This window comes from Homo sapiens, chromosome 11 (assembly GCF_000001405.40).
Source record: "Homo sapiens chromosome 11, GRCh38.p14 Primary Assembly".
NCBI lineage: Eukaryota > Metazoa > Chordata > Mammalia > Primates > Hominidae > Homo > Homo sapiens.
Window position 1 is genome coordinate 124801886 of NC_000011.10, and position 24066 is coordinate 124825951.

The window sequence follows — 24066 nt, forward strand, 5'->3', positions numbered from 1 at the left end:
GTATGTCATATGAAAATGCTAACCATAGTTTGTAAGCTAACAGAAGAAGCCTGAGGAAGTTCCCGAATTTATGATATCCTCTTCCCTTTTTTCCAAAGAAAGATGCAGTCTAGCACCTCAGTTAAGAATATGGACTCTAAAGTCAGACTGCCAGGCTTCAAATTCCAGTTCTGCGACCTCAGCAAAGTTACTTAACCAAGCTCTCAGTGCCTTGTTTTCTTCATCTGTAAAATGAGGATGACGTCACAGCATTGTTGAGAGAATTAATACAGGTAAAGTCCTTAGAACGGTGCCTGGTTCACAGTAAACATTGTGTGAGGACTGTAAAAGAATCTGAAACATCTATCAAAACAAAATTAACTCTCATTCAGCCCAGTGATAAATGTTTTAATGTCATAAGGTATTTGGTGTGTATGAAAGGGAGAGTTGTGCCTAAATCATATACTAAATCAGAGATTCCAAAGAGGGGTGTGTGTGTGTGTGTGTGTGTGTGTGTGTGTGTGTGGGAGACAGGGTCTCACTCTGTCACTGAGGCTGGAGTGCAGTGGTGTGATCTCAGCTCACTGCAACCTCTGGTCCCAGGCTCAAGCGATCCTCCCACCTCAGCCTTCCAAGTAGCTGGGACCACAGGTATGTGCCACCACTCCCGGCTAATTTATGTATTTTTTGTAGAGATGGGGTTTCACCATGTTGCCTAGGCTGGTCTCAAACTCCTGGGCTCAAGTGATCCTCCACCTTTGCCTCCCAAAGTGCTGGGATTACAGGCATGAGCCACTGCACCCAGCCCTCCAAAGAGTTTTTAAATTACCACTTTAACCTTCTGTCATTGTCCCACAAGTCTGAAAAACAACAACAACAAAAACCCCTCCTCCTATTATCATGGGATCCTCGGGATGTGGCTTTGCCAGCCAGAAATCTCTGTGGCTGGTGGTGCCTTTGCCCAAGTTTTGCTTGGGCCCACTAGGTTCCTTCTGCCCACTCAGCCTGGCAGGCTGCACTCAGCTCATGCTACCAGCCCAGATCCCACACCTGCCAAGGGTAAGCCAGGCACAGAGCAGCAAGGGGTGCATGAGCGAGCAAGTGTGGGGTCTGGCCACTGCCCACAGCCAGGCACATCAGCTATGGCAGGTTGGGCAGCTCCAGGAGCCAGCATGGGCACTGGCTCCCTGTGAGGTTGCGGCTGGACCAGGCATACCACGAGCAGCTTCTGCTGATGGTACCAGGGAATGTGGTGGCTCCCAGAAGCTTGGCGACACCAGGAACTGCAGAGTCCCAAAGAGGGTGTAAGAGCCCTGGTTCGGGGAGCTCCTAGGTCTGGACTCCCCAAAGGGCCACAGGCAGGAGAATCGCTTGAATCTGGGAGGCAGAGGCTGCGGTGATCCGAGATGGCACCATTGTACTCCAGCCTGGGCAACAAGAGCGAAACTCCGTCTCCAAACAAACAAACAAAACAAAAACAAGTGTCCCTATATGCATGGGTGTGTTTCTGGGCTCTTCTATTACATTCATCTGTTTGTCTATCCATTTTTCTATTTGTGTTGCTTGTAATAATATCACACTGCTTTAATTACTGTGAGTTTATAGTAAGTCTTATGTCGAATACAGCAAGTGCCTCCTCACCCTCTTGCTTTTCCTCCTCCTCTTCCAAGAGTAGCTTGCTATTCTTAATCTTTTGCATTCTCCTATACATTTTAGAATTCATTTGTCAAATTCTACAGAAAAAAACTGCGGTTATTTTGAATGGTATTGCATTGAATCTGTGGACCAATTTGAGAACTGACATTTGTACAGTAATCACCCGTAGAGTCCTTGGAAATGGTATAAACCTTTAGTCTCTCAATAAAATTACGTTATTTACTTCATAAAGGTCTTACACATTTTTGTTCAGTTTGTTCCTAGGTAGTTGATTTTTTAAAATGTTTTTGTAAGTGGTATCATTTTTAAATTTTATTTTCTATTTTTTTTCTTTTGAGACAGGGTCTTGCCCTGTCACCCAGGCTGGAGTGCAGTGGTGTAAACATGGCTCACTGCAGCCTCAACCTCCGGGGCTCAAGCAAACCTCCTGCTGCAACCTCCCAAGTAGCTGGGTCTACAGGCATGCACCAACACATCTGGCTAATTTCTAATTTTTTTGCTGGTATATAAAAATACTAATTGATTATCTTATTTTGTATCTAGTAATCCTGATGGAGCAGTTGATTAAAATTGTATATCATTGCACGTCATTCTCTTTTTAAAAATCCAAGCCTAGTGAGACCCTGTCTCTACAAAAAGTTTTTTTTTTTTTAATTAGCTGGGCATGGTGGTGCACATCTGTACTTGCAACTACTCGGTAGGCTGAGGTGGGAGGATTGCTTGAGCCTGGGAGGTTGAAGCTGCAGTGAGCCATGATCGAGCCAGTACACTCCAGCTTGGGTGACAGAGCAAGACCCTGTTTCAAAAACAAACAAAAAAATCCACCAATGACTTTCCCTTGGAATGATATAATCCAAACTCTTTGCCATGCCTATGGTGGTTTTAAAACATGTCTGCACATTGTTTGACATTCTCCCAGGAAGAAATTAATCGAGTCTATATCTCCTCCCCTTGAATGTGGGTGGGTCTTGGTGACTACCTTGATAAACCGAATGCGATACAAGTGACACTGTGACTTTCAAGGCTAGATTTGAAAATACCCTGCAGCTTCTGGCAGTTTCTCTTGAGATACTTGCTCAGAAGCATTTCATCCACCATGTAAGAAGTTAGGCTATCCTAAGTGTACACGGAGAGACCACAAAGAGAACGAGAAAGATAGCCAGTGAACCAGAAAGATTCCAGCCTCCAGTTGGTTTTCTGCCTAATCCAGGCTCCAGACTTGTGAATGGAGAAGTGTTGAGGTGACCCCAGCTCCAGCCACCAGCTGACGACAACCATACCGGAGATCCTGAGAGCTGCCTAGCTGACCCCAGGCACCCCCCAGACTTGTGAGCAAAATGAATTATTGTTGTATGTTCTAACCCACTGAATTCTGGGGTATTTGTACGTAGCAATGGGTATTTGGAACAACAATCTGTAAGGCCCTTTTTACTCTGAGCTTAACCTACTGTGCAAACTTCATCTACCACCTCAAATACGCCCCAGCCACCCTGACCTCATCTGCCCCATCAAGCGAGCCAAACTTATTTCTGTTTTGGAGCATTTGGAGTTGTCATATCTCCTTATCTTAGAACACTCTTATCTTAGCTCTTCCAGTGACAATCCCCTTCTTGTAATTCATCTCCTCAAATGTCACCTCCCCAGAGAGGCCTGTTACCTTTTTGTCAACAGCACTTATTTTCAGAAAACACTTGTTTATGCATATTAATTTTTTTCATGTATTTATTGTCTGCATTTTCTTTCTAGCATGTAAGCTGTTTGAAGCCGAGGACTTTGTCTGTTTTGTTCACTCCCAATAGATTCAGCACTTAGAAGAATGCCAGGCAGGCTTTCCCCACCAACCAAGATGGAATAACAGGGAAAAGACATACCCTTCTATCTTCAATAATTGGAAACCCAGACAAAGTTTATGAAACGCTGGTTTTCAAGACATAGGACATCAGACAATCAAGGACAGTAAACACTGAGATGGGAAACAAACAAGGTGAGTACTGCAATTGCCCAACATTACTAGCTGGAAAGAGTTTCCCGACCATGGCAGAGGGAGGAGGATCCTTTGAGGTTCTGTGGTGTCCCTGAGTTGAGGAGACAAAGTTGAAATTCCAGAGTGGTCAAGGCAGCTGGAGTTTGTAGAGCAGAGTACCAGAAAGAAAATAGATGCACAGAGAGAACCTCAGAGATCTGCAAAAGATCTCAGCTCTTCAGCTGTGCACCTATCAGTACATGCATGTGACAAAGCACCCCAAGGCCAGGGGAAGAATCACCTGAAAGTATGAAGAGAAGAATACTTGGAGCATATACAAACCAGGAATAATTTCAGTTCTCACCAGCCAAATTGGAAGACCCCATAGATAACAGGCATTAGGTAGAGCAGGGGTCCCCAACCTCCAGGGGCACTGACCAGTACTGTTCATGGCCTGTTAGGAACTGGGCTGCACAGCAGGAGGTGAGCGGCAGGCTAGCCAGCAAACCTTCATCTGTATTTATAGCTCCCATCACTTGCATTACTCCCCATCACTCCCCATCACTTGCATTACCACCTGAGCTCCACCTCCTCTCAGATCAGCAGCAGCATTAGATTCTCATAGGAGTGTGAACCCTACTGTGAACTGCACATGCAAGGGATCTAGGTTGTGCACTGTTTATGAGAATCTAATGCCTGATGATCTGAGGTGCAGCTGAGGCAGCATAGCTAGGAGGTAGGTATTTTGTTGCTGGGGACTCATATCAAAACCCTATCAGTGAGTGGCAAGTGACAATTAAGCTGCATCTGGTGGCAGACTTTATAGAGGCAAGTGAGTCAATGTATTTCAATTGCACAGCTCTATCTGGTGGCAAGTTTTAAGTCAGAATCTGACACTTAATTTAGTCTGTGCATGGCCTGCCCATTATTTTATTTACCACTTCTGTCTGTGCCTCTTTGCTGCACTGAACACTTGTCTCAGTCACAGTTTTGGTAAGCCCACAAGCTAACCCTAGCTAAAATGAGTAAAAAGCAAACGACACTGGAGAGCTTCTTTGAAAAGTCAGAGAGACCCAATGATGAGACAGCAGAAGACTCTTAAGACTGCCAACAAAAAGAAAGCTGCACTTAAAAGAAAATACCAGACTGGGCGTGGTGGCTCACACCTGTAATCCTAGCACTTTGGGAGGCTGAAGCAGGTGGATCCCTTGAGGCCAGGAGTTTGAGACCAGCCAAGCCAACATGGTGAAACCCATGTTTCTAAAAAAAAAAAAAAAAAAAATTAGCCGGGAATGGTGGTGCGTGCCTGTAATCTGAGCTACTCAGGAGGCTGAGGCAGGAGAATCTCTTGAACCCAGGAGGCAGAGGTTGCAGTGAGCTGAGACTGTGCCACTGCACTCCACTCCAGCCTGGGTGCCAGACCAAGACTCTGTCTCAGAAAAAAAAAAAAGAAAATGCCAAAAGTTCTACTTAAGTTATGGGTTAATTGCAACAGGTGATTCACATTCTCTAAGCCCACTTTGTATATTATGTGCTGACCCACTATTCAAGGAAGCCATGAAAACTTCAAAACTGCTTCACCACCTGGAGACCAAGCACCCTGCATTAAAAGACAAGCCTTTGGAGTTTTTCTAAAGAAAAAACATGAACACAGAGAACAGAAGTAATTATTGAAGGCCACTACTTCATTAAGTGTGTCTGTACTGAGAGCATCGTTCCTAGTGGCTAACCACGTTATTAGGCTAAGAAGCCCTTTAGTATTGGTGAAGAGTTGATCCTGCCTGCTGCTAAGGACATTTGTCATGAACTTTTAGGAGAGGCTGCTGTTCAAAAGGTGGCACATGTTCCTCTTTCAGCTAACACCATAACTAGAAGAATGGATGAAATAGCAGAGAATATTGAGGCACAATTGTTAGAGAGGATTAATGAGTCACCGTGCTACACAATCCACAAAAGGGTTTTGTCCCAGAAATAGACTCATACATATATGATCAGTGATTTTCAACAGTGGTACAAATGCAAGTCAGCGCAGAAAAAATAATCTCTTCAACAAATGGTGCAGGAACAATTGGATATCCATAAAATGAACTCGGATCCACGCTTTGCACCATATGCAAAAATTGACTCAAAATAGGTATAGGTCCTAGACCTAAATGTAACAACCTGAAACTCTAAAATTTCTCAGGAAAAAAATGGGATAAAATCTTTGTGGTCTTGGATTAGGCAAAGATATTTTCTTGTGTTTGTGGGTAAAGAAACCTTTAATGAGGGTTCAAGGTGTAAGAGGAGGACCTTGTAGAGAGCCAGCGCTTAGCCCCAGCCTCCTCATATGCACATGGCTCTGTAGAGGTTCTCCAGACAGTGCTGCTGCTGCTGTTTCGAGCCTTATCTCCTCTGTGCTCCTCACAAGTGTCGTTAACAGCGGGCAGCTCCTGGCAGCACAAGGGACAGGGATTTGTCTTGCTTAGCCGGGGCAAAATGCAGTTAGAATGGAAAAGCTAATGGCAAGGCATCCCAACAACAGCCTCCTCCTCCTCAAGCACATGGGGCACTTGTGTGTGCCTCTCAGCCTGAGAGCTCCTGATGACTGTCCTGGGGAGGTTCCCAACCACACTGTCTTGGCAGCTGGTGGAGGCAGGTGGTGATTCCAATTTACTGCCATCCCCGAGTCTTCAAAATCCATCCTATTGAAAAGTGATCTGGTGAGCTCCAGCAGCATGTGGGTTAGGGTCTCCTGCTTGGGGTTCAAGAGCTTGCAGTCCTGTTCATTGAAATAGGCTGTCATGGCTGCTCAGCTCTCTGACATATCTCTCAGACTGGCAAAGATATTAGGTCTGATACCAAAAGTACAATCCATAGAAGAAAAAGGATGGATACATTGGACTTCATTAAAATTAAGAATGTTTTCTCCTTGAAAAATAATGTTAAGAGAATAAGAAGATAAGCCACAAACTTGGAAAAAAAGTAATTGTAAATTACATATCTGATAAAGTACTTGTACCCAAAATATGCACAAGAATCTCAAAACTCAATAATAAGAAAACAATCCAATTTAAGAAATTATTTTAACATACATTTTACAAAAGAGGATATATAGATAGCAAATAAGCCCACAAAAAGATATTGAATATTATTGACCATTGGGAAAATGCAAATTAAAACAAAATGAGATACCATTACACACCTATTAGAATGTCTAATATTGAGAAGACTAATCATACTAACTGATGAGGATTTGGAGCAACTGGAACTCTCAAACCCTGCTGATAGATAAATGCACAACCACTTTGGAACAGTTTGGTAGTTTTTTAAAAAGTTAAACATACATCTGCCTTATGCCCCAGCCATACAATTTTTAGACATTTCTCAAGGAAAATGAAAGCATATGTTCATTCAGAGATACACATGCATATTCATTGCAGCTTTATTTGTAACAGCCAAAAACTGGAAACAGCCCAAATGTCCAGCAACAAAAGAATGGATAAACAAATTGTGGTATATTTACTACCTAGCAGTTGAAAGAAATAAACCTCTGACACACACAAGCTGGATTAAAAAAGAAGAGGAAATGAATTATTGATACATATAATAAAGATTACTCTCAAAATAATTATGGTAAGTCAAAGAAGTCAGACCATGCTCCCTAAGAGTATATACTTCATGATTCAATTTCTGTACAATTCTATAAAATGCAAATTAATATATGATAACAAAAAGTGATTGCCTGGAAATGGTGAGAGGACAGAGGGGCCAGAATCAGCCAGGATTACAAAGATGCACAAGGAAACTTTTGAGGGTGGTGGATATCTTGAGTGTGGTGATAGTTTTACAGTTGTATGCCTATGTTAGAAGCTATCAAATTGTACACTTTAAGTATGTACACTTTGTTGTATATTAATTATGCCTTAATAAAGTTATTATAAAAAGTAGTTCCAGGCAATACTAGACACTCAATAAACATTTGTAAACTAGTCGTTGACTTTCTTGGACTGTGACTTGTTAGCAGTTAGGGATTGATTATTCTGTACATGTTTATGTAATACCTGGCAAAATACCATGCTGGAGTAAGTGCTCAATAAATGCTATTTTAAGAATGTTATCAGTCAAGCCTGGTGGCTTATGCCTGTAATCCCAGCACTTTGGGAGGCCGAGGTGGGTGGATCACCTGAGGTCAGGAGTTTGAGACCAGCCTGGCCAACATGGTGAAACCCTGTCTCTACTAAAAATACAAAAAATTAGCTGGGCATGGTAGCACATGCCTGTAATCCCAGCTACTTGGGAGGCTGAGGTAAGAGAATCACTTGAACCCGGGAGGTGGAGGTCGCAGTGAACTGAGATAGCACCATTGCACTCCAGCCTGGTAAACGAGCAAAACTGCATCTCAAAAAAAAAAAAAAAAAAGAATGTTATCATCTGTTACATATCCATCAAATTCATGTCATTTAAGTGACACTAAAGATAATATATTTTTTCTGACAAAATGTTTAACTTCATTAGCAATTTAAAAATACAAATTAAAATAATGAAATACTGTTTTTAACCTTTCAGTTTGCAAATAATTTTAAATGATAGAATAAGCATGTTATTTTATATTTGGAAGAACAAAAGAAGCCATTTCCATTTCTAAAGCATGTGATGGCTGGGCATGGTGACTCACGCCTGTAATCCCAGCACTTTGGGAGGCGGAGGTGGGTGGATCACTTGAGGTCAGGAGTTCAAAACCAGCCTGGCTAACATGGTGAAACCCCATCTCTACAGGCATGGTGGCGTGCACCTGTAATCCCAGCTACTTGGGAAGGTGAGACACGAGAATCACTTGAACCCAAGGGGTCAGAAGTTGTAGTAGCCTTGATGCCACCACTGCAGAGCAGCCTGGGCAACAGAGCAAGACTCCATCTCAATAAATAAATAAATAGAGCATTTTATCGTACCTACTTGACAAGAGATTGGGAAAATAGGTGCTCTCTCTCACTCTACTAATAAGATGTAAACTGGGAGAAATTTTCTGTTGGACAATTTTAATAAATATCAAAAGCTTCAACAACATGAAAGCCCTTTGATCCAACTGTCCCACTTCTAGAAATGTATGCTAAGAAAACAAGACTGCACACAAAGATTTAGTCACTAGATTGTTCAGCACGATACTGTTGATGATGTCAAAAATTAGAATTGACCTACAAAGCCAGCAGTAAGAGACTGGTTAATAAACACTGCTGTATTCATTCCATGAAATACTATTCTGACATAAAAAATGGTATAGTAAATGAACTAACTTAGTTCAAAATAACAGGTTTGTTTAAGCCAGTTGTAGTCTGTAGTCTCAGCTATTCGGGAGGCCAGACTGGGCAACGTAGTGAGACCATGTTCCTAAATAATAATAATAATAATAATAATAATAATAATAATAATAGGCTTGCTTTTTTTTGAGACGGAGTCTCGCTCTGTTGCTCAGACTGGAGTGCAGTGGCACTATCTCGGCTCACTGCAACCTCTGCCTCCTGGGTTCAAGCGATTCTCCTGCCTCAGCCTCCTGAGTTGCTGGGATTACAGGCTTGCGCCACCACCACGCCCGGCTAATTTTTTGTATTTTTAGTAGAGGCGAGGTTTCACCCTGTTGGTCAGGCTGTTCTTGAACTCCTGACCTCGTGATCCACCCACCTCGGCCTCCCAAAGTGCTGGGATTACAAGCATGAGCCACCACGCCCAGCCAATAATAGGCTTGTTAAAAGAATGAAAAGACAAGCCACAGACTGGGAGAAAATATATGCAAAATACAAATCTGATAAAGGACTTGCATCTAAAATACACAATGAACTCTTAAAACTCAACAATAAGAATTACAAATAATTCAATTTCCTAATATAAGCAAAAGATCTATACAAAGATGATAAACAGATGAAAACTATGAACATGGAAAGATGTCATTAGGGATTGGTATACTGAAACAACAATGAATTACCACTATACGCCTATTAAAATGAGTAAAATGCAAAACATTTTACTCATTTTGCATTTGACAACACCCAACGCTGACAACACCCAACGCTTTACATTTTACTCATTTTGCACTGACAACACCCAATGCTGGCGAGGATGTGGAGCAACAGGAGCTCTCATTCATGGCTGGTAGAAATGCAAAATGTACAGTCACAAAGCTAACATGGTCTTACCACGTGATCCAGCAATAGTGCTTATGTCCACACAAAAACTTGAACATGAATTTTCAAAACAACTTTACTCGTAGTTACCAAAACCAGAAAGGAAGGAAGATGTCCCTTAATAGAAGAGTGGATAAACAAACTGTGGTATACTCACACAATGGAATAGTATTTGGTAAAAAGAAATGAACTAACAAGCCGTGAGAAAACATGAGAGAAACTTAAATACATATTCCTAAGTGAGAGAAGCCAGTCTGAAAGACTATGTTTCCTGCTAGATGACATTCCGGAAGAGGTAAAACTATAAGGACAGTAAAAAGACCAGTGGTTACCATGGGGGAGGAGGAGAGGGATTAAGGGATAGAGCACGGGAATTTTAGGACAGTAAAACTCTTCTGTATGATACTGTAATGGCGGATATGTAACATTATGCATTTGTTAAACCCCATAGCATAGAACTATACAACCCAAAAAGTGAACCCTAATGTAAATGATGGATCTTAGTTAATACTAATGTATCAATATTAGTTCATCAATTGTAACAAAGGTACTATACACTAAAGCAAGATGTTAATAATAGGGGAAACTGTGGGGTGCCGGGTGGGGGGTGTCGGGGAGGGACTCTACTGCTGCTCAATTTTTCTATGAATTCAAAACTGCTCTAAGAAATAAAGCTTATTAAAATGTTTTTTTAAATAGCCCTACATTTGTTAATTCGAAAAAGGGCTGAAACAAATATGCAACTGGTTTAGTACTGGCTAGACTGAATGCTGGTTTTTTGTTTTGTTGTTGTTTGTCTTTGTTTTCTTACCGAGAAAGAAGTGATGGTCTTGTGATTTTTAAGAAAGGAAAATCAGTTGTTCAAAAAAGAAGTATTGGAAGAAATGATGCAATAGTGTTTCCTCCCTTCCATGGTGCAGCCCACCCTGGGCCACTGTAACACTGAAGGTAGTCTGTGTCACATTTGTTGCCCAGTGGGGACATAATGCCTACCTCATGGGAAAGAATGAGGCATAAATAAGGTAATTCATGAAGGGTACTTTGCATGGAGCCTGGTACTGCTAAACACAATGAAAGATCACTGATGCTGTTTCCTCTCATCTGCATGGAAGGGCTCCCATCCCCAAACCCACTCCTATCTAACACTGACAGCCTTGTCACACTATATAACTTGGAACCACCAGTAGCAATCTCATCATGCCCTTTTACCCATTGAAGAGACTCACCATGAGAAGCCCAAGAATCTGAGGACACTCTAAATGTTCTGGAATTTAGTAACCAAGAGACTCTGTAAATTCTCTTTTCCAACTCTGTTACTCACCCCTTCCAAAATCCTCTGGTATTCAGGGTAGGCGATTAAAAAAAAAAAAATCCCTATGTCCTCAATCTCTTATCTGATCATTCTTTACACTTTCTGGCTCTTACTCAAACTTGGCTGTCTCATTTCCCCCTCAGCCCTTGTAAGTGAGGGCTATTACTTCTCAGCTCACTGGTTCCTTCCTTTCTTTGTAGTATCCATTTGGCAAAACCACAATCCTGTTTAAATCCAGCTGTCTCCCTATGTCACACCTGCACCATGTAACTGCTTATGGCTAGAAAAAACCCACAAAACTATGCCAACTGGTCTTCCTTTCAATTAGATGTGACCACAGATTTCAAGTGAGCTCTTAATGTGGCTCAGCAACCATTTCGTTTCTCGTATTAATTCATTCTCTCACTCTCCTATAGAACTATGTTATGCCTTTGGCCACCTCAAACTGAAAATCTCTTTCTCCAATCTTCGTTCTTAGCTCATCGTCTTTCTTCCTGTTTCACTGAAAAAGAAATGGAAAGGATTAGAATCAAAGCTCCCAACACATTTACTTACCTACATGGTGTACCTCTAGTTAGTGCTAATTAGTCTGTACTTTTAGCTAAGATCAATGCCTCTGCCTAAGCACTAAATGCTATCATCTCTACCTACAAGGACATTGTTCCAGAAAGTTTCTCTTCTAACTCCTTCAGCAGCAGTTGTTTTCCCCTTGTATTGGATCATTCTTATCAGTATATCATGCTTTCATTATTTTTGTCTCATTAAAAAAAATCTCAAAACCTACCCTCTTCCTCCAGCTACTGTCCAATTTCTCTCCCTTTAAAAAGAGATAGAGCACAGCCAGGCACGGTGGCTCATGCCTGTAATCCCAGCACTTTGGGAGGCCAAGGCTGGAGGATCACCTGAGGTCAGGAGTTGGAGACCAGCCTGGCCAACATGGCGAAACCCCGTCTCTACTAAAAATACAAAAATGAGCTGGGCGTGGTGGCACGTGCCTGTAATCCTAGCTACTTGGTAGGCTGAGGCAGGAGAATTGCTTGAACCTGAGAAGCGGAGGTTGCAGTGAGCCAAGATTTGTGCCACTGCACTCCAGCCTGGGCGACAGAGTGAGACTCCATCTAAAGAAAAAAAAAGATATAGCTACTTTATTAAATTTTTTAATATTTTATTTTTTCTTTATTAAACCATATAATTGGCCAACTTAAAGTGTACATTTTGATGATTTTTAATACCTTCACAGAGTTATGCAACCATCACCGTGATCAACTTTAGAATATTTTCATCATCACCCAAAGAAATGCCATACCCATTAGCTATCACTCCCCATTTCCTCCCACCACCCCAGCCTTAAGCAACAACTAATACATTTGCTCTTCCTATAAATTTGTCAATCCTGAATGTTTAATGTGAATGGAATCATATAATATGTTGGTTATTGTGACTGGCTTCTTTTATTTAGCTTAACGTTTTCAAGGATCATCCATATTGTAGCATAAATTAGTAATTCATCCTTTTTTATTGCCAACGAATACTCCATTGTATGGACAAACCACATTTTATCTGTTCATCAGTTGATGGCCATTTGGGTTGTTTCTTCTTTTTGGCTATTATGAATAATATTGCTATGCATATTCATGTAGAAGAAAAATTTTTTGAGACTCTGTTGCCCATGCTGGAGTTCAGTGGCATGGTCATAGCTCACTGCAACCAACCAACTCCTAGGCTCAAGCTATCCTCCCACCTCAGTCTCCTGAGTAGCCAAGACTACAGGCACAGGCTACCACACCCAGCTAATTTTTAAATTTTTTTGTAGAAACAGGGTCTCATTATGTTGTCCAGACTGGTCTCAAACTCCTGGCCTCAAGAGATTCTCCCACCCCAGCCTCCCTGAGTTGCTGGAATTACAGGGGTGAGCCACCATGCCTGGCTGTCTTTCACTTTCTTGATAACATCACTTGAAGCATAAGTTTTAAATTTTGATGAGTCACCTAATTATTTAATTTGTCATTTGTGCCTTTGCTGTCAAATCTTAGAAGTCTATGACTAACCCAAAGTCACAAAGACTTACTCCTATATTTTCTTTGAAGACTTTGAGAATTTTAGCTCTTACACTTAGGTTTATAATTCATTTTGGGTTAATATTTGTGTACGGTATGAGGGAGAGATCCAACTTTCTTTTTCTTTTTCTTTTTTTTTTTTTTTTTGCATTTGGATATCCAGTTGATCCATCACTGTTCATGAAAAGGACTATTCTTACTCAATTGAATTGACCCCCTTGTCAATTCATTGTAAACGTGAGGATTTACTTCTAGACTCTCATCTGGTCCATCAATATATATCTATCCCTATGCCAGTACTACACTATCTTCATTACTATAGCTTTATAGTAAGTTTTAAAATTATGAAGAATGAGTTATCCAACTTTGCTCTTTTTCAAGACTGTTTTGGCTATTCTGGGTCCCTTGCATTTCCATAGATATTTTAGCATCAGCTTATTAATTTGTGCAAAAAAAAAAAAGCCAAAAGCTAGGATATTGATGGGATTGCATTGAATCTGTAGATCAGTTTGTAGAAGGGGAGTACTGACATCTGCTATGGTTTGAATATGTGTGTTTCCTAAAATTCATATAATAGAACCTAAGATCCAATGTGATTACATCAAGAGGTTGATGGCCGGGCATGGTGGCTCACACCTGTAATCCCAGCACTTTGGGAGGCCAAGGCGGGTGGATCATCTGAGGTCAAGAGTTCCAGACCAGGCTGGCCAACATAGTGAAACCTCATCTCTACTAATAGTACCAGAAAAATTAGCCAGGCATGGTGGTGGGCTCCTGTAACCCCAGCTACTTGGGAGGCTGAGGCAGGAGAATTGCTTGAACCCAGGAGGTGGAGGTTGCAGTGAGTTGAGATTGCACCATTGCATCATTCCAGCCTGGGCAACGAGAGTGAAACTCTGTCTAAAAAAAAAAAAAAAAGAAAGAAAAGAAAAGAAAAGGAAAAAAAAGGCCGGGCGCAGTGACTCACACCTGTAATGCTAGCACTTTGGGAGGCCGAAGTGGGTGGATTTCCTGAGCTCAGGAGTTCGAGACCAGCCTGGGCAACATGGTGAAACCCCGTCTCTACTGAAATACAAAGAATTGGCCAGGCGCGGTGGCTCACGCCTATAATCCCAGCACTTTGGGAGGCCAAGGAGGGCGGATCACAAGGTCAAGAGATCGAGACCATCATGGCCAACATGGTGAAACCCCATCTCTACTAAAAATACAAAAATTAGCTAGGCGTTGTGGCGCACACCCGTAGTCCCAGCTACTCAGGAGGCTGAGACAGGAGAATCACTTGAACCCAGGAGGCAGAGGTTGCAGTGAGCCGAGATCACGCCACTGCACTCCAGCCTGGTGACAGAGTGAGACTCTATCTCAAAAAATAAATAAATAAAATAAAATAAAATACAAAAAATTAGCCAGGTGTGGCAGCATGCACCTGTAGTCCCAGCTGCTGTGGAGTCTGAGGCAGGAGAATTTCTTGAACCCAGGAGGCAGAGGTTGCAGTGAGCCAAGATCGCACCACTGCACTCCAGTCTGGGAAACAGAGCGAGACTCCGTCTCTAAACAAACAAACGGACAAACAAAAACAAACAAACAAAAGAGGTGGACGTGGAGTCCTGATAAGTAAGCAACAATGAGGAAAGGGCCCCAGGTTGGGGAGAGTAATTGTTCTGAGAAATGGCTAACTGCAAACAACCCACTGGTACAACATTCTGTTCCCAAATATCTTGCTCCACATATAGCCCTGGCAGCACGACCTTATCTGCACACCTTATCCACATGTAGTCCCCTCCAGCACGACCCTTTAAAACTGCCTCTTGGCGGATAGCCCCTTCTCTGCTGTGCTGCCCATTGCACTCTTTCAATGTATCTTCATGCTTTCTCTAATAAATCTGCCTTCCTTTACTCACAACTGTCTTGGTAAATTCTTTTATCACCTTGGATTCCAGCCCCAGCCAGCCGCAACCCGTGATATTTTGGTGGCCCATATGGGGAACTCTCCCCTTCTCCCCCTTCAACCCCAACCTCTTGGCAAACAGTGTTGGGGCCTGGAGACAACTGACAGTCCTAGCCGGGGCCACTCCCTGGCAGAGCAGAAGGTCCTGGTGGAAAGACATTTGACCGCTGCCCAGTTGGATGAGAGTTTAGAGTTTACTTTTCTTTTCAGTCTTCTAGCTGACAATCTCTAGTATCCCTCTGGCAAGTGATGGCAACTGGCCAGGGCAACTCCCTGGTGTAGCCTAAAGTCCAGGGGGTGAACAGGTTTGGCTGCCTTGCCTGAAAGGGAGGAAGGCTCTCTCCTATCCTTTCTGGTCAGAAGTCCCCTATCCCTATGCGGGGCATAATTGGTGGTGGCAGCTTGACCAGGATGAATCCACACATGTTTTGGGGAACTCAAACCCCCTCTTTCTCACCCTAAATTCTTCCATGAAGACAGCCACCAGCCAGCTCCAGACATGTTAAGCCAGGTGAGCGCTGGGATGGTGAGTTTTCTTTCACCATCACCCAAACAGCACTGGGATGGTGAGTTTTCTTTCAGTCTTTTCCCCTCGTACCTGGATTGAGCACTCAGTCTAATTTGTACCTGCACTGACCTGGGGTTGCTCATCCAGTGTTCATCTAACACGAGGTCCTAGTGCCAGGAGACCCTTTGCAGTAGGGGGGCTGCCCCTTTGGAAAGTGCACCTCAGAGTCCTTCAGTGAACGTGAGGGGAGCCCTTTTCTCTCAGTGAGATGCCCCCAAGAAAACTGTGGTTCGTGTCCCCAGCAGAGATTCTTTCCTGGACCCACGATGGGACAAAGCCCTTCCATTCCCTCAGACTCACCCCTGGGCTGCATTTTAAAGCATTGGGATAAATTTGACCCGCAGACTCTCAAAAAGAAACATCTAATTTTCTCATGTAATAACAAAATGGCCACTTTATAAATTTCCAGACCAGGAGGCTTGGCCTCTGGGTGGAACTCTTGTCTCCAATACTGTTTTACAGCTTGACCTCTTCTGACATAATTTCTCTACGTGGTCTCAAGTTCTTTATGTCCAGGCTTTCCTGACTGTCTCTCGGGATCCCAATCTCTGCCGAACCTGTCAGATATGCCTGGCCAAATTCTCTGGCCCCACTGACTCTTCTGACATTCTAAACCACCCTTCCTTTACTCTCTTCCATTCTGTCCAACCCGGTGGACTGATGGAGGCCACACATGCTTCCCCTGAAAAACCACTTTTATGTTCAATTACACTTACTCCATCTGCTCCTTCTCCCTCACCTTCCCCGACATCTCAACCTCGGATGTCATTTTTCGGTGCCTCCTCATTATGAGGAGCCCTTCTCCTTCCTTTCAGCATTTGCATCTCAACTTACTAGTCAAGTTTGTGTCTTCTAGAATTCAGCTGTTTCACCTTCAAATGCTGCAAACAGTATATCGGTCTGTTCCCAAAGATGTCTGCCACCTTCTCTGCTGTGCTGCCTGCTGCACTCTTGTAATGTATCTTCATACTTTCTCTAAAAAATCTGCCTTCCTTTTTTTTTTTTTTTTGAGATGGAGTCTTGCTCTGTCGCCCAGGCTGGAGTGCAGTGGCACAATCTCAGCTCACTGCAACCTCTGCCTTCTGGTTTCAAGCGATTCTCCTGCCTCAGCCTCCCAAGTAGCTGGGATTACAGGCATGCGCCACCATGCCTGGCTAATTTTTGTATTTTTAGTAGAGACAGGGTTTCACCATGTTGGCCAGGCTGGTCTCAAACTCCTGACCTCATGATCCACCTGCCTTCACCTCCCAAAGTGCTGGGATTACAGGAGTAAGCCACCGTGCCTGGCCCAAAATCTGCTTTCCTTTACCCACAACTGTCTAGGTAAATTCTATTATCACCTGTGACACCAGCCCTAGCCAGTCTTAACCTGCAACACTGGAGCCTTTAGGAGGTCATTAAGTCACAAAAGCAGTGGGATTAGTACCCCTATACAAAGGCTGGAGGGAACTACTAGATGCTTTTGCCTTTCCACCTTTGCCGTGTGAGGACAGAGCAGTCACTCTCTCTGTCTTGTGAGGATGCAGCAACAAGGCACCATCTTGGAAGCAGACAGCAGCCCTCATGAGACACCGAACCTGCTGGTGTCTTGATCTTGAATTTCCCCACCCTCCAGAACTGTAAGAAATAAATGTATATTCTAATTGCCCAGTCTGTGGTATTTGCTTATAGCAGCACATACAGACTAAGATACCATCTTAACAATATTAAGTCTTCCTATCAGTGAACATAAAATATCTTTTGATATATGGAGGTCTTCTTAATTCCTTTTAATAATGTATGTGGCAATCTTGAACTTCATTTGTCAAATATATTCTTAAGTATTTGATTCTTTTTGATGTTACTCTAAATGGAATTATTGTCTTAATTTCACTTTCAGATTGTTCATTGCTAGTGTATGGAAATACTATTGATGTGTGTAATTGATCTTGTAGCCTGTGACCTAGTTGAACTTGTTTATTAATGCTAATATTTTCAGTGAATTCCTTATGATTTTCTATATACAAGATCATGCCATCTAAGAAATAGAGAGAGTTTTATTATTTCTTTCCAATCTGGTTATTCTTTACTTCACTGCACTGCTTAAATTCCCGGACTAGATCCTAGAATACAATGTTGAATAGCAGTGGCAAGAGCAGATATCCTTGTCTTATTTCTGATCTTAGAGAGAAAGCATTCAGTATTTTGCCATTAAGAATGATGTCAGCTGTGGATTTTGTTAGTAGATGTCCTTTATCAGGTTTAGGAATTTCCCTACTATGCCTAGTTTGCTGCGTATTTTTATTGCTAAGGGACATTGGGGTGTTGGTTTTTCAAATGCTTTTTCAACCTCTATTAAGATGATCATGTGATTTTTGTCCTCTTTTCTATTAATATTGTATAGTGGATGGATTACATTAAATGACTTTCATATGTTAAAACGACCTTGCATTTTTGGGATAAATTCCACTTGGTCATGGCATATAATCCCTTTTATATGTTGCTGGATTCAGCTTGCTAGTATTTTGTTGAGGATTTTTACATCTCTATTTGCACTCAACTGTTAGGTTCCACTAATTGCCAACAAATTGCTCTACTGTCTTATGCTATAACCTGGGGTGTAAATTGCTCGGTAATCTAATCCACTAAATTTGGGCCCCTTTGCAGGGGTAGTTTTGAAAGACACTCTTTGAGGTTTGTCTTGACCCCAGGAAGGCTGTTCTTTGCTGTCTTTTCCCCTGGTTCTCTCTGGTACACTAGTCAGCCTACAGTTTAGCTTATTGTTCTCATAGAGCTACCAGCCTTCTTTTAATAGCTTACCACCAGCATCTTCGTTGTTTTGAAAAAGTGCCCCTAGGCTTGAACTTCCCTACACTTGGTTCCAAATAAAGTCAGTTCCCTTGGGGAAAGCATAGGTGCTCTTTGCTCTTATGGCCTACTTTTCTTCTGTGCAAAATCTCGGTACTACTGCTTCCAAGTTGGTGGCAGGGACAGTGGCCTGCTTGTTTCAGAGTGACCTGCAGGGCACGTCATGGAGGTGGTCAGCCTCTGGTCTTTTTGTCTCGCCTTTCCTCATGTGGAACCTCTGCCCTCTGAGTGAACTAGGGTTAGGGCGATTGGGGCCCCAGTATTACTATAACCACCCAAGGGGTTCTTCCTGCTGGCAGCATAAAGACCACAGCGGCCAGGTGCAGTGGCTCATGCCTGTAATCCCAACACTTTGGGAGGCCAAGGCGGGTGGATCATGAGGTCAGGAGATAGAGACCATCCTGGCCAACATGGTGAAACCCCATCTGTACTAAAAATACAAAAATTAGCCGGGCATGGTGGCGCACGCCTGTAGTCCCAGTTACTCAGGAGGCTGAGGCAGGAGAATCACTTGAACCCAGGAGGTGGAGGTTGCAGTGGGCCGAGATCGTGCCACTGCACTCCAGCCTGGGTGACAGAGCAAGACTCTGTCTCAAAAAAAAAAAAAAAAAAAAAAAGACCACGGCATTGCAGTAAAGAAAAAGTTTAGTAGACACAAGGTCAGCCACACCACCTGGGAGAAGGAGTTTGTGCTCAAATAATCTCATCCAAAACTGGTAGGTTAGGGGTTTTTCAGAAGCAGTTTAGGGGAAAGGGGTGGGGGTGGCTAGGCTTGCTGCTGAATTATTGGGCCGCAGATGAAATCAAGGGGATTGAAGCCATCCTCCTGTGGGCTGAATTACTTCTGGGTGGGGCTGCAGGAATGGGGTTGGTGGGTCCAGGTCGAGCCATGGGTGTTAAACATGTGAAAAACCTGAAAAGATATTCCAAAAGGCCAACCTACAATAGTGGTGTTATCTGCAGGCATAATTGGGGAAGTTGCATATCTTATAACCTCTGGAGTAATGGCTGGCAATCGCTTCTGTCTGCCCCTTAGCAGGATTTAGGCTCCTCCCTGCAGCCTGATGGCCTCCCATGAGCTTTATAAAAGCTGCTGAGTTTTGGGCAATGCCTATTATCATCTAAACAATACCCTAAATGTTTTCCAAAGTTAGCTCCACCCAATAGCCCAGGAATGGTTAATGGATAGACAAGATCCAGGGTGGGCTAGCTCAGATCTCTTTCACTCTCATGATTTTCTCATTGATAAAATTTTTGCAAAGGCGGTTTCATTATTGGCTTGCTACTCCTGGATAGAGCCTCTGACCTAAAATGGGATCTGGATGAAGAAAGAGAGTTCCTAACCTCTTGGGAGCACCTCCCTGGAATTTAGCCTCTGCAACATAGAGTTTGGGGGTATGAGAAATGCCCCTAACAGGGAGATAGCACAGTGCTTGGCTGGGAGCCCTGTCTTCATGGCTGCAGCTACCCAGAGTGGAGCATCTATGCTGCTGAGCTGGGGGAAGTGGGCAAGAGAGGGAGCAGATAGTAGCTTAAGTGCCACAGACTCTTCCTGTTCTTACCAAGATTTAGTAGAGTTTCTTGAATAAATGTTTCTTCATTTACTGCATGCCCTTAGGACAATTTCCAGGGACTTTAAAAGGTTGTTATTTTTAAAAATAATTTCACCAGTTACAGTTGTTTTGTTGGGGAGAGGGTCTTTGAGCTCCTCACATTGAGACAGCCGAGTATAAAGGGGTCACCAGAGAACCTCCAACTGATCTGGGCACTGGCAGGAGTGCTCACTGGGGTGGAGCCTTGGGAAGTTCACTCAGTTTGCAGAGGGAAGGAGCCTGGCCTCTCCTGTTCTGGGTGGAACCTGGGATTCAATCTGTGAGGTGGGAAGACTACTAGCAGGACACTTGCTCTGCCAAGTCCCTGTTTCCTTTTTTTTCCTTTTCACCCAATAAACCCTGCCCTTCTCACCCTTCAAAATGTCTGTGAGCCTAATATATTTCATGGTCGTGTGACAAGGACCCCGTTTTTACCTGAACTAAGGAGAAAGTCCTACAACAACATTGCCTTTCCAGAAATGATTATTCTTCTCTTTTAACCAAAACTTCTTGAAAGCCTGATTAGTACTTTATGCTCAATTCCTGTCTCCTCCCCACCCGCAAATTCTTTTTTGAGTCAACACCGCCCATCAGGCTTTAACCCTCCATGAACCCTAGTGCTCCCATCAAGGTCACCAATGCCTTCCACATGGCTAAATCCAATAGTCAAGTCTCATTTTCATCTTATCTGACCAGCCAGCAGTATTTGACATGCGTGGTCTCACCTTTCTCTTTGACACACTGTCTTCACTTTGTTTTCAGGACACTATGCTCTCCTAGTTCCTAGCTTTACTTCTATCAATATATCATTTTACTTCTTAGTCTCCTTTGCTGGTGCCTCAGAACCTGTCCTTCGATCTCTTCTTTTTAACTACATTTATTTCAACCAAAAGAGTCAAACTCTGTAAAATATTTGAAGAGATTTATTCTGAGCCAAATATGCATAACCATGGCCCATGACACAGCTCTGAAGAAGTCCTGAGAACACGTGTCCAACATAGTTGGGGTACAGTTTGGTTTCATGTATTTTAGGGAAACGTGAAACTGCAATAAAATATGTTTAAGAAATACATTGGTTTGGTCCAGAAAGGCAGGACAACTTAAAGCTGGGTAGGGTGGCAGGAGTCGGGGGATGTTGGGTGGGGGATCTTTCAGGTTATAGGTAGATTTAAAATTTTCTGGTTGACAACTGGTTGAGTTTATCTAAAGACCTGGGATCAATAGAAAGGAAATGTCTGGGTTGCAATAAGAGGTAGTGGAGACTGAAGTTTAATCGTGCAGATAAACCCTCCAGGTAGCAGGCTGCAGACAGAATAGATTATAAATGCTTTTTATCAGACTCAAAGGTCAGTATTGATATTAATGTCGAAGAGGTATAATGAGGCATGTCCGGCCCCCACTTTCCATCATGTCCTGAACCAGTCTCTCTGGTTAAGTTTTAAGAATGCCCTGGCTGAGGGGAAAGTCCATTCAGATGGTTGAGAGGCCTTAGAATTTTATTTTTGGTTTACACTTACTTCCTTGATGATCTTGTAACTGAGCAGCTTGGCTTCAAATTGCATGTTAAAACTTTGTTTCCTTTCCTCCTTTCTCCCCAATCTGAAGATATAACTTTGAGACAAACTGCATATGTGTTTCCTTTCATCTTGAAATACAGCCTTGAAATGCGCTGTGATTCTCCACTCCCTTCCCTTTCCCATTTTATGTTCCCATGCTTTATGCACCTTTGTTTACCCAGATGCTTGTTAAACACACACCATACTCACTTATCTGGCCATATATTTGTTTAAAAGCTTCAGGGGAGGGATCCTGATGTTACAGTAGGTAGTCAGACAGACATGAGCGGCGTTGGGGAGACCCACCCCACCAGCCACAACAGGAATGTCTAGGCGACCATCATGTGATGGTCAGGTGGTTGTCACACTGTCTGTCTCACTGTCACACTGCCTGGAGCCAGGGAAAGGCAGTCTCCCAATAGATAGAAAGACCTGGAAACATTGCCATTCCAGGTTAACTTGCTGAGAAGCTGACCAGCTTCCTGATAAGATCTCAGGAGTTGGGCAAGTAGGCTCAAGCCTGCTCACTAAGAGGCAAAATGGCAGAGTTTAACTGGTGTATGACTTTGTTATAGGAACACTCAACTGGTAAGGGAAGAATGCCTCAAGTGAGCACGTGCACAACTTCAGTAAACATACTGTGCATGTGGCCCCTCCCAGCTGCTGGCAGGCCACCGCACACACGGAATGCCAATGTATAAAACCCCAGGTCAAAGGTTAAACCATGCACTTGATCTCTCAAGTCGCCCACTTGGCCCTCTTCTGAGTGTACTTCCTTTCATTCCTACTCTAATAGTTTTAAATAAACTTTCACTCTGGATCTAAGACTTGCTTTGGTCTCTCACTCTGCCTTATGCCTCTTGGTTGAATTCTTTCTTCTGAGGAGGCAAACATTGAGGTTGCTGTAGACCCCTATGGATTTGCCACCACTAACATGGATATTGTATTAGTTAGGGTTCTCTAAAGGTCAGAAATAATAGGATGTATGTATATATGAAGGGGAGTTTATTAGGAGAATTGGCTCACATGATCACAAGGTGAAGTCCCACAGTAGACTGTCTGTAAGCTGAGGAGGAAGGAAGCCAGTCCAAGTCCCAAAGCCTCAAAAGTAGGGAAGCTAACAGTGTAACCTTCAGTATGGGGCTGAAGGCCTGAGACCCTGGCAAATCACTGGTATAAGTCCAAGGGTGCAAAAGCTGAAGAACTTAGAGCATCCAACACAGGAGAAAGATGAAGGCCGGAACACTCAGCAAGTCTCTCTCACTCCATGTTCTTCTGCCTGCTTTATTCTAGTCATGCTGGCAGCTGATTAGATGGTGCCTACCCAGATTGAAGGTGGGTCTAACTCTCCCAGTCCACTGACTCAAATGTTAACCTCCTTTGGCAACACCCTCACAGACACACTCAGGAACAATACTTTGCATCCTTCAATCCAATCAAGTTGACACTCAATATTAACCATCACAAGTCCACCCCTTGCCAACTTGAACCCATACACATCTCCTGAAATTATACATAATCTTCAAATAAAGACAATAATAAGGTCATAATTATGCCTAACATAATACAGCTATCCTTCATACAACTGGAAGTGCACTAATCCTTAACCTAAATGCTATTACATAAAGTTAACAACACTTAAATGATGACATGAAGTCCATAAATCTATGTCACATGATAAAAGAAAAAGAAAGGAAATAAAATGAAGATATTTTCTTAGTACAAGTATATACATGTGCAAATATGTTCTTAAAATGAGGAGGCTATACTCATGACAATTACAGTCCTCATTTCTGCAACTGGTCACATGGTCGTAGCTGGTATTGATGACTACCTTCTTCTATTTCCCTTTCTGTATTCCCTTTGCTTTCAGCAAGCACCTTAGCAGGTTGTAGTTTTTTACACAGTGGAGTGACCCAAACCTTCACTCCTGAGGGTCTGGGTCATTTGTAGTCCTGCCTGGATTGGGTTGTTGTAGTTTCCCATTGACCTTAATCACAGGGTGTGATAATACTAAGAGACGCCCTAATGGATCTCTTGTATTCCATGCATATTCTTCCTTACCTCCAATGTAGAGTAGTAGACTGATTTCATCTGACAGTCTAGGTCAATCACCCCAGCCAACACTGTAACTTACTTCTTAGTCTGTTGACTTAGAGGTAAGAGAAGCCCAAAGTGGCCAGGTGGCAGTCTTAACTTCCAGTTTAATGGACTCGTTGCTGTGTCTCCTGGTGGCAGCATTCCTCCCTCTGGAATAAAGACCTCTAGGCCAGCAGAATGTAATGTCACGGGAACAGGAAGGAAAAAATTTTGCTAGGGTCACTAGGAGTGATGGTGAGTGATGCCACTTCCATTTCCACCCCTTGATTCCTGGACCCATGAATCCTGGCTATGGGGGAAACGGTACCATATATTGGACTGTGATTCAGAGTA

The 24066-nt window shown here is 42.9% G+C and overlaps 1 long non-coding RNA gene and 1 pseudogene across 1 annotated transcript in view; one reads left to right on the top strand and one right to left on the bottom strand.

Moving 5' to 3' along the window:
- Positions 1 to 24066, top strand: part of MSANTD2-AS1 (MSANTD2 antisense RNA 1) — a 34060-nt gene that overhangs the window by 1458 nt on the left and 8536 nt on the right. Inside the window, exons 2-4 of the long non-coding RNA NR_103862.1 lie at positions 99 to 272; positions 2846 to 2963; positions 3435 to 3619. This is a non-coding gene — a long non-coding RNA (MSANTD2 antisense RNA 1). The remainder of the gene's footprint in view (positions 1 to 98; positions 273 to 2845; positions 2964 to 3434; positions 3620 to 24066) is intronic.
- LOC107984357 (E3 ubiquitin-protein ligase RNF181-like) lies at positions 5924 to 7993 on the bottom strand (annotated as a pseudogene).